Genomic DNA, 14,186 nt, shown 5'->3' with positions numbered 1-14,186 from the left:
GCTCTCTAAGAAAGCTGGGCAGATGGTGATATAGCTTCAGAAGTCCCAGAACATCACTTCTGCCACATTCTATTAATTCAGCAAGTCAATAAGTCCAGGCCAGATAAAAGGGGAGGGAAAGTAGATTCCACCTCTCAATGAGGTTGGGTGGGGGTGAGGTTGCAAAGAATTTGCATCCATCTTTATTCTGTCACACCATGATAAAGAGTTTTGTATTTGTCACAAGTGCAATGAACTTATTGTGGTGTTTTTAGAATGAGGGTGACAGGATGATCAGATAAATTTTAAATATATCTCTTTAGCTTCAGAGTGGAGCATAAATTGGAAGGAGAATTGAGATAGGTGGAAGAGAGACCAGTTAAGAAATTTTTGAAGAGGCCAGGCTTGACTTGATGATAGGATGGTGGCAGTGATGTTAAAGAAAAGTAGAAGAATGTCTTTTAAAATTTCAGGAGGTAAAATCAACAGCATTGATTCAATAAGGGGGATGAATGTTCTTTTCATGTTATGCTGATGCAGTGTTTTTTCTTTTATTCATTTATTTATTCTTTCTTTTCAATCCATGTATTCACTGAAATACATTCACTGAACACTGACTATATTAATGCGATCTTTCAGGAACTGTGCTCTGTACTGTAGGAGATACCAAGAGGTTTCTGCTCTCAGGGAGCTCAGTGCAGTGTTAGAACTTGTTCACAGTTTCAATCGATTATTCAATAATAGCAATATCAATCAACCATGTGTTGACTCTTTATACTGTGCCAGCCACTTTACATATTCAGTAGCCCTTTGTTCTTTGCATATGTATTTATTTAATATGTGGTTTCAGCGACTGTTTAATAACACGTAGCCATTTGTAACTGATGGAGGCACTGGAGGTTGGTGTGTGGGAAAAAGTCTATAGCCCAATACCCAGTATCTGCAGATTCACATGGTTTTGATCTTCTCCATCCATCACTGCCACAGAAGAAGTTCTAATTTGGGATCCAAAAGTGCCCATGAAATTTTCCAGAAATACTTCCTTTCATGGGGAGATCTGTATTATGTATAGCCTTCTTTAATCCCTAACTCTATCATTACGAATGGGTTCCCATCATTACCTCTAACTCTCCACTCTCCACTCTGCTCCCAGAGACCAGACCTCTGAATACACTCTTGCGCAGGGCATGACTGTGATTCACTGGGGAGGAGGAGGTGACTCTTTCTCCTTCTTTATCCCAAGAACACGCTGCAGATATTTCACAGCTTAAAAAAAGAATAAAGAGTGTTAATTCCCACAAGCTTCTAGTGGATTTGGGACAATAATTCTGGGCATCCCAGCAATAATGGACCTCTTTCTTTGGAATCTAGAACCCAATTGGCCTAGCTGCTGAGAGTTCTGGTCAACCCATCTCCCCTCTGTCTCCATTCAGTGCCTCAGTACCACTTTCTCCCCTCTTCTCTCGATGCCCTGAAACTTTGGTATTTAGAAGTTAAACCTTAGTAATGCGGTTTGGTAACAACCAGACTGAGGTGGATTCAACCCAGTGACCTCAAGAGGAAAGAATTTCTGAAATGATTTTTTTTTCAGGTTTTCAAAGAAGCTGGTACTGTACTTTTCATTTCACACATCACAAATTTACATCTTCAAAAGCTAGAAAATATCAACACCTCAGAAAAATATGGTGTAAAATATGTGGACATCTGCTCACCTGAAGCAGCAGTAATCACAGAGAAAATTGTAATCCCCTGGACTAGACCAGCATTAGGCTTTAGTGCCTAGGACCTGACTTAGGGTCATCCTCAACCTTCTTAGTTCTATATAACATAAAAGTCCAGCCAGCACATTCCCTGAACTAGGCTGCTGGTAAAACCAGAGACTTGTTTCAACAGAAAGTCAACAATGAAGCCGTTGTGTTTCATTGGAGTGAGACAGGATTGGAGGAGCTAAGCTTCCCACTGTGGTTTAACACCTTCAATGGGGCCTTCCTCTCCAGCCCAGCCCTGTTGGGTTAGGAGTCAGCATTCGACAGGTATTTCCTGAGGGCCCTTTTCACTGTTCCCTCTCAACGTGTGCATTCACGGCCAGGTCGTTTATCCTGCCTGCCACCTTGGGCTGATGAAAATGTCGCTTTGACTTATGACATGAGCACTTCCTCAGAAAGTTGGGGACCCCAAGTGAGTTCTATCCCTAACTTTTCTCTATGGAAAGTTTTTTTTTTTTTAATTGTTTATAGTCTGTGAATTTTGGATGGCAGCCAATGCTGAAGCCAAGAGGAAGGCTGTCTCTGTGGGATGTTGCTTGCATCCACCACCGTGGTAAGCACGTGATGTTGTCATCAGTGTATTTGGCTCTAATGAAATGCTTTCTTTGTCTAAGAGGATATCTGTTTGCATGTTTATACATTATCCTACGCTGTTAATTGGCAATCATGTTTTTATTTAATTTTATGAGATTAATGTAACCTCTTTTTGAGCCCTAATACATCACATGGCAAATAAAACTCAGACATTTTTGGGTTGAACAGAACTAGCCTGCCACCAGACCTCTCTTCTAATTCCTGAAATATCAGCCAATTATACCAAGACTTAGCAGTACAAAAACCACAAACTCATCTGTAAGGCGAGGAATTGGTAGCACATAAAAGGATAATTATTTGAGTTTGAGGAAGAATAACTGAGGAAAGTGGTAAAATCTTTCATGACAATGTTTAGACATAATCAAAATTATCATGACTGGCTTGGTTTAGGTATTGCACTGTTGCAATTTGGGGGATGCAATGATGATGCCATTTAGGCACATAGGTGCCATCTAAGGGTTATGGTTGGTGGTAAGAAAGGTTTCTTAAGAGCAGCTTCTTGGTTAGATCACCACATTCTAGAGAATGTGGGTTTAACCTTTCTTGAGTAACCTTCTTGGTTAGGTCACCACATTCTAGAGAAGTGGGTTTAACCTTTCTTGAGTAACCTTCTTGGTTAGGTCACCACATTCTAGAGAAGTGGGTTTAATCTTTCTTGAGTCTTGGACCAATTTGGAAATCTGAGAGAACCTATGGTTTGCCCCACACTCCCACATGCTTATATGCTCATCTACACACATTTATACATATAGTTTAAGGGGGGCGTCCACTGAGCTTCCAAAGACTTGTCCTAAAGGACCATGGATTCCAGGTTAAAAACTCCAGTTCTCAGGCCTGGTTCTTAGTTTTAAACCGTCTTGGGGTGCCAGAGATGAGGATAGACTCATGCTAACTGAAATACCAGACAGTGATGAATAAGGCAAAATAATTTATAACAGGGCTTCCTTCTTTCCAATAACCAGAATGCTTTTGTGTTCACTTCTCAATATCCAGAGATATGGGAAATAGAATCATTTAGCCAAATATTACTTGGAGAGGTGAGTGGCCCGAGGGTGAACTTTTTACTCCATCAATGAGGGAACTCAGTGATCTGTCCCTGTCCTAGAGTAAAGATCCTCTTCTCAGTGGCCTCCAGATCCAGGATCTCTCTCCCTTAGACAGTGCTGGATATACACATGACAACTTGTGCTTCTTTGAATTCAGTTTTCCATGCTGGTTAGCCCGCTCAATTGATACGTTCTTTCTTTAGACAATACCTGTTCCCTTAAGCCCTGGAGCCACGTGTGTTTCTTCTAATTTTAAGATGCTGCAATCTTAGCTCCACAGGTATGGAGGATTCATGAGAGCAGAGATGGACCCAATCTGTGCTTTTCATTGACTCTAGTTGTTCCAGGAACTCACAAGAAAAGTTGAAGGAGTTCCTGTAAATTTGATGTGGTTTGTGGCAGTCATGTTTTGTTTGTGTCTACCCCAGCCCTGAGCTAGGACTTGGACAGGAGAAGACAGCAGTGGTCCAGGCTGAAAAATTCCCAGGTTTAACTCTCGGTTAAAGTTTTGTGTAGTCAGGGAGGCTGTGATTCACATTTCCCAAAAGACTGGTTCAGAGTATATATGCATATTTTAATGTTGTGTATTCATGCATTGGACCATATTTCCAGCCACTTTGCCAAAAAACTATCTTTACAATGTGCCCCCATTGGTGTAAATGTCTGAAGATCCAAGGGGGTTTGAATGGAATAGTTGAATGTCAACTTTGTCCCCAAAGTTGGTTCATAATCCTCTTAAAATGTTTATATTTAGGAGTTCTCTAATGGCCAAAACATCCTCATTGACTCATATAATCTAATACGGCAGAAGGACACATCTCTACCCTAACACGAAAACTGTTGGCCTCTCTTAAACCCTAATGGGACAACATTATTTCAGAATGCAAAGGCATCTGGTAGAATTTGTACTGTACCAATGCCTGGGAAGGGAACCACACCCAGTCCAGGCTTTTATTCATCAGTGGGTGAGTTGGACTTCTGGAAGGATGACAAGTATCTTAAAACAGTTATTACTTCCCTGTCGAAAGTTTGACAGTTGAGCTGAAACCTAATATTTCTAACAATAATTCCAAAATGTTGCAAACTAATGACTGATCCTGGAGAGAAAGGAGTGTCCGCAGCATAGAGCACTCATCCCTGGGGCACTGCCTTGCATTCTCATTCTTTAGACTAGCCTTACACCTCATAAATCTGTCAGTCATTTCAAATAAAATTTCTGTTTATGTTGTGAAAACTATTTCCAGTGTTTCACGTGAACTGTCTGCAAACTGATAAGACAATGAAGGCTGGATTCCACATTGAAATAAGGCAAGAAAATGAGTTTCTATTTTAACTGATAATTTCTTTGCTACCTCTAATGCTGCACACCTATTAAAAAAGCTAGTGTCACATTTCCTTCAGTTTGGAGAATTTAAGTTGAATCTTCTCATTTGGGTTGCCATCTGGTGTGCTACTAACAGTCTCCGAGAGTAAGAGGCCATCTGTTAATACTTTTTCCAGGAAGCTTTTTATAGAGCAGTGAAGTGGCAACTCTCAAAAACACATTGTAATGACTTACATGAACTTGAGTATATGTACAAATTGAGGCTGATACTTTGTTTCTACCAACACTATTTTCTTCCATTGAGGAGGGACAGAGGAATCAAGAAATGTATATTTGTATGCAAAAAATGTGCATCCCTACCATGTGGAGAGCCATAAAGTTAACAAGTTATTGGCTTTATGGTATTTTAAAAAGTAAGGTTATAAATACATACTGAGAAGTAATAATAATAATAATGATATTGATAGTCATATATTGACCACTCGCTATCTTCCACCTAATGTGTCAAATGTTTTACATGCATTGACTTATTTTATTTTTACAATGACCCTGATAAATACTTGCCAATATTATACTGTTTACAGGTGAAAAAGAATTGGTGCTCAGAGAGGTTAATGACATGTCCCTGTGCTGAGGTAGTAGTAGCCAGCACCTGAACACAGTTTTCTTTTCTTTTTAAAATTTTTTTCTGACTTCAAAGCCTGTGCTATTCTTTATGAGCTATTCTTTCTCACTGTCCTGTGAAGCTTGGAACAGTCTGTCTTTTGTAACTAGCTGGATACCAGCTACTAAACTTCCTATCACTAGAAATAAAGGTTTAAGTAAATTTGATCAAGGACAGCTGGTGGTTTGCATTAATAACAGTATGGGTTAGGTTTTGCTGTAGTTACAAATAACCCCTAAATCTCAATGGCTTGCCAAAAAAGAAAAAAACAAAAAACAAAAAACAAAACATATTTACTGGCCATGCAGCATGCCTGACTCAGGTCACGGGAACTCTGCTCATTGTGATGACTCATTGCTGGAGCCTCCATCCCTACCCAGGCTTCCATGATCACAGTGACACTGGCCACTCCTCACTTCCTCACACATTTCACTGGCTGAAGCAAGGACTTGATCAATCCAAATTGGAAGATTAAAGTTAATTTTTCTAAATGGGCTAGGAAATTTCAATTCTATATGTGCGTCCAGCAGGAAAACCACAATATTTGGGCCTACCCCTAGTTACTGCAGCAACTAGATCAGTTGATTAAAAGCCTTCTGATTTCTGGTCCTTTTTTCACTGTGGATTTTTCAATTTGAGATTATGATAAATGGTCCTACACCATACTTTTGCATTGCCTGGGCTACAATATATTTTTGTCTGGTGGCATTAACTGATCTTTAAGAATCACACCTTATTTGAACCAGACTTCTTTCTATCTAGCATCTGTCACATTTCTCTTTTGAATCTATGTTCTATAAACATAGGAAGACACCGGTGTACACAAATCATCCCAGTATCTTTTTCATCCAATTGGAGGTTACTCCAAAGATGATTTCAGATAGTATAATATAACTGAATTTTCCTTTTGGTCTATGTCATAGTATTTCAATTTCAATTATGTTTTAAAATTTTTGTTTTTAACAGGTCCCTATTATATTCAAAATAGACTTCATTTTTGCATTTGAGGTAAATAAATGATGAAGGTATTTATGTCCTGACATCAACTTTACAAGAGAACTTGAAGAGTAGTTTGGACAAAGCTATTGTTTAGGTGTTCCTTCATGTTGGCGGCCACTTCATCAGGCCACTAGGGTGAGTGTACTCAAGGACCCAAAGGTCAGCTTGCCCTTGTTAGACAGTATGACTTTTGGGGCCTTGGCAAACTATTCAGCAATATTTAAAATATCTAGTTTATTTTTGTTATGTTTTCTTTTACATTTACTGTTTATTTCTAAGATTATAAAAGTAATACATGTTGTATTAATCTGTTTGTGCCAGAGTACCACAGACTGCATAATTTATAAAGAATAGAAACGTATTTTCTCAGAGTTCTGGAGGCTAGAAAGTCCAAGATCAAGGTACTGGCATCTTTTGAGGGTCTCCCTGCTGTATGCTCCATAACACTGTGTACTCACGTGGTGGAAGGGCAAAGAGGCCAAAGGGAGCCAAACTTTCTCTTTAATAATGGCATTGATCTATTCCTGAGGGCAGAGCCCTCATGACTTAAATATCTTCCATTAGGTCCTATCTTCTGACACTGTTGGATTGAGGGCTAAGTTTCTAACACATAAATTTTGGGGGACACATTTAAACCATAGCATATGTTAATTGCTAAAATTTTGGAAAATATAGCAAAAATGATAAAAAGGAAGAATTGCTAATAATCATTAATGATTATATTAAAATAACAACCACTTTTACAATTTTGGAAAATAACTTTTAATACTTTCTGTATGTTCTGCCTATCACTCTCACCCTCCCAACAAATCAGTAGCCCATTTTGTACTGTAGTAGTAAACCTGTAATATTTCTTCAAAGTACTTAAGTCTGTAATTTTAAACAGTATTTATTTTTGTATTTATATGTTTAATATATCTGCTGCACCGGAATGTAAATACCATGAAGAGAATTTTGTGTTCTTGTGCCAGATGCTGGCACCTTGATCTTGGACTTCCTGGCCTGTGAGAAAATAAAATTCCTGTTCTTTATAAATTACTGTCTGTGGTGCTCTGTTATAGCAGCACAAACAGACTGAGATAACATGTATCTCTAGAGCCTATCAGAGTGCTTACCACACAATAGGCATCTGATAAATATTTATTAAATAGATGGAACGGACTGCCCGGGGAAGGGGAGGACTGCCACCTGGGCTGGTTGTACAACTCAGCTGTTCCAGCCTTCAGGCTATGGAGAGTCCGAGCCAACAGGGGCAGAGGTGGTTCCCCACCACGACGCAGCTGTTTGGTGGAGGCATGGCCAGACTGCTTCTTTAAGCGGGATCCCAATCCCACTCCTCCTTGCGGGGGTGGTGGGGGGGCGAGAAGGGGGGTCCTCCCAGTGGGGGCCACCGGCTACCTCGGCTAGTGTTCTCCCTGGGACGGAGTGGCTGAGGGCAGAGCAGGCCACTACCTTGACCATTTGAGCTTCTCAGCTGCTCCAACCTGTGGGCCTTGGAAAGCCCAATTCAAGGGCTGAAGGGATCTCCAACACAACAGAGCTGCTCTACCAAAAAGCAGCCAGACTGCTTCTTTAAGCAGATGCCTGATCCCATTTCTCCTGAATGGCTGAGACCTGCCAACCAGGGTCTCCAGCCACCTCCTTCATCCCCCCTGGCATGAAGCTTCCAGAGGAAGGGGCAGGCTGCCGTCTTTGCTGTTTCATAACCTTCATTGGTGATACCTCCAGGCACGGGAAAAATTAAGGCAACCAGCATCTGGAGCAGACCCCCAGCAAACTACAGCAGCCCTATGGAAGAGTGGCCTGACTATTCAAACAAACAAAGAAACAAATAGAAAACAAGAAAACAAAACAAAACAAAACAAAAAACCCCATCCAAAGGTCAGCAACCTCAAAGATTGAAGTTAGATAAGCCCACAAAAATGAGAAAAAAAACATGAAAATACTGAAAACTCAAAAAACCAGAATGCCCCTTTTCCTCTAAATGACTGCAACACCTCTCCAGCAAGGGCTCAGGACTGGGTTGAGGCTGAGATGGCTGAAATGACAGAAGTAGGCTTCAAAAGGGGGGTAATAATGAACTTTGCTGAGGCTAAATGAACATGTGGTAACACAATGCAAAGAAGCTAAGAATTACGATAAAACAATACAGGAGCTGACAGCCAAAAATAGCCCATTTAGAGAGGAACACAACTGACCTATTAGAGCTTAAAAACACAGTACAAGAACTTCACAATGCAATCACAAGTATTAATAGCAGAATAAACCAAGTGGAGGAAAGAGACTCAGATCTTGAAGACTATCTTTCTGACATAAGACAGGCAGACAAGAATAGAGAAAAAAGAATGAAAAGGAATGAACAAAACCTCTGAGAAAGGGTTCAATTCAACAGGAAGAGCTAACTATCCTAAATATATGTGCACCCAATACAGGAGCACCCAGATTTAGAAAGCAAGTTCTTAGAGACTTTCAGAGAGACTTAGACTCCCACACAATAATAATCAGAGACTTTAACACCACACTGACAATATTAGACAGGTCATCAAGATAGAAAATTAACAAAGATATTTAAGGCCTGAACTCAGCTCTGGGTCAAGCAGACCTGATAGATATCTATAGAACTCTCCACCCAAAAACAACAGACTATACATTTTTCTCATCACCATATGGCACTTTAAAATTGATCACATAATTGGAAATAAAACACTCCTCAGCAAATGCAAAATAACTGAAGTCATAACAAACAGCCTCTCAGACCACAACATAATCAAATTAGAACTCAAGAATAAGCAACTCACTAAGAACCACACAACTACATGGAAACTGAACAACCTGCTTCTAAATGACTCTTGGGTAAATAATTAAATTAAGGCAGAAATTAAGAAGTTTTTTGAAACTAAGGAGAAAAAAGAAATGACATATCAGAATCTCTGGAATGCAGCTAAAGCAGTGTCAAGAGGGAAATTTATAGCACTAAAGGCCTACATTCAAAAGCTTGAAAGATCTCAAGTTAACAACCTAACATCACAAGTAAAAGAACTAGAGAACCAAGAGCAAACAAACCCTAAAGCTAGCAGAAGATAAGGAATAACCAAGATTAGAGTTGAACTGAAGGAGATAGGGACATGAAAAACCCTTCAAAAATCAGTAAATCCAGGAGCTGTTTTTTTGAAAAAGTTAACAAAATAGACTGCTAGCTAGATAGCTAGACTAATAAAGAAGAAAAGATAGAAGATCCAAATAAACACAATCAGAAATGATAAGGGGGATATCACTACTGACTCCACAGAAATATAAACAATAATCAGAGAATGCTATAAACACCTCTATGCACATAAACTAGAAAATCTAGAAGAAATGGATAAATTCCTGGATACATACACCCTCCCAAGACTGAACCAGGAAGAAATTGAATCCGTGAATAGATCAATAACAAGTTCTGAAATTGAGAAAGAAATACATAACCTACTGGCCAAAAAAAGCCCAGGACCAGACAGATTCACAGCTGAATGCTACCAGAGGTACAAAGAAAAGCTGGTATTATTTCTACTGAAACTATTCCAAACAACTGAAAAGGAGAGACTCCTCCCTAACTCGTTCTATGAGACCAGCATCATCCTCATACCAAAACCTGGCAGATAACAACAAAAAAGGAAAACTTCAGGCCAATATTCTTGATGAACATCACTGCAAAATTCTCGACAAAATATTGGCAAACCGAATCCACCAGCATATCAAAAAGCTTATCCATCATGATCAAGTAGGCTTCATTCCCAGGATGCAAGGTTGGTTCAAAATAAGCAAATCAATAAATGTGACTCATCACATTAACAGGACTAAAGACAAAAACACATGATTATCTCAATAGATGCAGGAAAGGCCTTTGATAAAATTTAACATCCCTTCATGTTAAAAACTCTCAATAAATTAGATATTGAAGGAACATGCCTCAAAATAATAAGAGCCATCTCTGACAAACCCACAGACAATATCATACTGAATGGACAAAAGCCCGTTCTCCTTGAAAACTGGCACAAGACAAGGATGCCCTCTCTCACCACTCCTATTCAATGTAGCATTGGAAGTTCTAGCCAGGGCAATCAGGCAAAAGAAAGAAATTAAGGGTATTTAAATAGGAAGAGAGAAATTCAAACTATCTTTGTTTGCAGATGACATGATCCAATATATAGAAAACCCCATTGTCTCAGCCCAAAAGCTTCTTAAGCTGATAAGCACTTCAGCAAAATATCAGGATACAAAATCAATGTGCAAAAAATCGGTAGCATTCCAATACACCACAACAGACAAGCAGAGAGCCAAATCATGAATGAGCTCTCATTCACAATTGCCACAAAAAGAATAAATACCTAGGAATACAGCTAACAAGGGAAGTGAAGGACTTCTTTAAGGAGAACTATAAACCACTGATCAGAGAGGACACAAACAAATGGAAAAACATTCCATGCTCATGGACAGGAGAAATCAATATTGTGAAAATGGTCCTACTGAGGCCAGGCACGGTGGCTCATGCCTGTAATCCCAGAACTTTGGGAGGCCGAGGCGGGCGGATCACCTGAGGTCAGGAGTTCAAGACCAGCCTGACCAACATGGAGAAACCCTGTCTCTACTAAAAATACAAAATTAGCTGGGCGTGGTGGTGCATGCCTGTAATCCCAGCTACTTGGAAGTCTGAGGCAGGAGAATCGCTTGAACCCAGGAGGCAGAGGTTGCAGTGAGCTGGGATCATGCCGTTGTACTCCAGCCTGGGCAACAAGAGCAAAACTCCATCTCAAACAAACAAACAAACAAACAAACAAACAAACAAAAAAGAAAGAAAGAAAGAAAGAAAAAAACATAATGGTTTTACTGCCCAAAGTAGTTTATAGATTCAATGTTATTTCCATTAAACTACCATTGATATTCTTCATAGAATTAAAAGAAACTATTTAAAAATTCATTTGGAACCAATAAAAGAGCCCAAATTGCCAAGACAATCTTAAGCAAAAAGAACAAAGCTGGAGGCATCACATGCCATGACTTCAAACTATACTAGAAAGCTACAGTAACCAAAACATCTTGGTACTGGTACAAGAACAGGCACACAGACCAACAGAACAGAATAGAGAACCCAGAAATAAGATCACACACCTTCTACCATCTGATCTTCAACAAAACTGACAAAAACAAACAGTGAGGAAATGATTTCCTATTTAATAAATGGTGCTGGGAGAACTGGCTAGCCATATGCAGAAAATTTAAACTGGACCCCTTCCTTACACCATATACAAAAATTAACTCAAGATGTATTAAATACTTAAATGTAAAACCCAAAACTATAAAAACTCTAGAAGAAAATCTAGGCAATACCAGTCAGGACATAGACATGGGCAAAGATTTCATGATGAAGATGCCAAAAGCAATTGCAATGAAAGCAAAAATTGACAAATGGGTTCTAATTAAAGAGTTTCTCCACCTCAGAAGAAACTATCATCAGAGTGAACAGATGACATACAGAATGGGAGAAAATTTTTGCAATCTGTCCATCTGACAGAGGTCTAATATCCAGCTTCTACAAGGAACTTAAATTTACAAGAAAAAAACACCCATTAAAAAGTGGGCAAAGGACATGAACAGACACTTCTCAAAAGAAGACATACATGTGGCCAACAAACCTATGAAAAAAGCTCAACATCTCTAATCATTAGAGAAATGCAAGTCAAAACCTCAATGAGATACTATCTTACACCAGTCAGAATGGCTATGATTAAAAAGTCAAAAAGCAACTGATGCTGGTGAGATTGTGGAGAAAAAGGAACCCTTTTACACTGTTGCTGGGAGTGTAAATTAGTTCAACCATTGTGGAAGATAGTGTGGTGATTCCTCAAAGACCCAGAGGCAGAAATACCATTTGCCCCAGAAATCCCCTTACTGGGTATATAGCCACAGGAATATAAATCTATATATCATTCTATTATAAAAATACATGCACACGTATATTCATTGCAGCACTATTCACAATAGCAAAGACATGGAATCAACTTAAATGCCCATCAATGATAGATTGGATAAAAAAATATGGTACATATGCACCATGGAATACTATGAAGCCATAAAAAGGAACAAGATCATGTCCTTTTGCAGGGACATGGATGATGCCATTATCCTCAGCAAACTAATGCAGGAACAGAAAATCAAATACTGCATGTTCTCACTTACAAGTGGGAGCTGAACAATGAGAACACATGGACACATGGAGGGGCATACACACTGATGCCTGTTGGAGGGTGGGTGGGGAGGAGGGAGAACATCAGGAAGAATAGCTAGTGGATGCTGGGCTTAATACTTAAGTGACGGAATGATCTGTGCAGCAAACCACCATGGCGTGCATTTGCCTATGTAACAAACCTACATAACTTGCACATGTACCCCAGAACTTAAAATTTAAAAATCAGAAAACATATATTTATTGAATAAATGAATTAACCATACACACACAGACACACACGCACACATGCACACGAACATGATTCCAAGTCATATAATTGAATTTTCTTTTGTTAAAATATCACAGCATTTCAATTTAAATTATATTTACATTTCTTTTCTTCTTAGCAGGTTCCCAGTATATTCAAAATAGACTTTCTTGTTACATTCAAAGTAGGCCAAATGTTAGGGGTATTTATATATTGTAAATATATATTTTTAAAAAGTTGAGATCATACTTTATTACTATTTTACAGCATGATTTTTATTACTTTACATTATATTGTATTTTACTATATTTCCTAAGTACATTTATTACTAATTCTGACATAATTTTTCATGGCTGTATGCTGTCTTATAAATAGATCAGAGTTTATTTAACCATTTCCTTACTTTTGGATATTTATACTATCTTCAATATTTTGCTCTTATAAATAGTAGGGTGTGTTATCCTTATTTCTGGGAACTGTTCTGATATATGCTTAGGATAATTGGAAATTATTGGATCACAGTGAATGCAGTTCTTTAAGGCTCTTGTTATATTGCCAAATTTCACTTCATATGGAACCAAAAAAGAGCCTGAATAGCCAAGACAATCCTAAACAAAAGAACAAAGCTGGAGGCATCATGCTACCCAACTTCAAACTATGCCACAGTGCTACAGTAACACTGTAGGCACTTCAGAGAAATTGTATTAATTTATATCATCATCCATGACATATTATGCAAATGGCCTTATCTCTCTGTATCATCACCAAACTCACTTCACATACTATACTTCCTTTTTGCCAGTTTTGGAGAAATAAAATAAAATTTTATGTACCATTTTTTGGTCTGTTGGGATCTTTCCTTCCGCTTATTTTTAAGACCTCTTTTTATACATTAAGGTATTGATTCTTGCTTATCACAGATATTACAACCATATTTTTTTTCAAATTTGTCATTTATGTTTTATTCTTATTTATGGTCTTGTTGAAATAAATTTAAAATTTTTGATATAGTCTTTTCCTTTGTAACTTCTTATTTATGCTCAAAGAATTATTCCTTCCTCTGAGATTAAAAATTCACCTATTTTATTTCTAGCTTATTTGCCTCCAGTATTGAAATATTTCACATTTAACTATTTAATTCATAGATTATTTATAATGACATGCATTGCAATAAACCTATTCACTTCATTTTTCCCCATATTTAACCAATTGTACCAGCTCCATACAAGCTCCTTACTAACTTGGATTTCAAATCCCTCTTGCTAAAATGGAAGTATTATTTCTAAAATAAATAAAATGAATAAAATAAATAAATAAATAAAATGGAAGTATTATTTCTAG

Source organism: Homo sapiens, chromosome X, assembly GCF_000001405.40.
Source record: "Homo sapiens chromosome X, GRCh38.p14 Primary Assembly".
Lineage (NCBI taxonomy): Eukaryota > Metazoa > Chordata > Mammalia > Primates > Hominidae > Homo > Homo sapiens.
Note: the sequence above shows the minus strand (reverse complement) of the source record.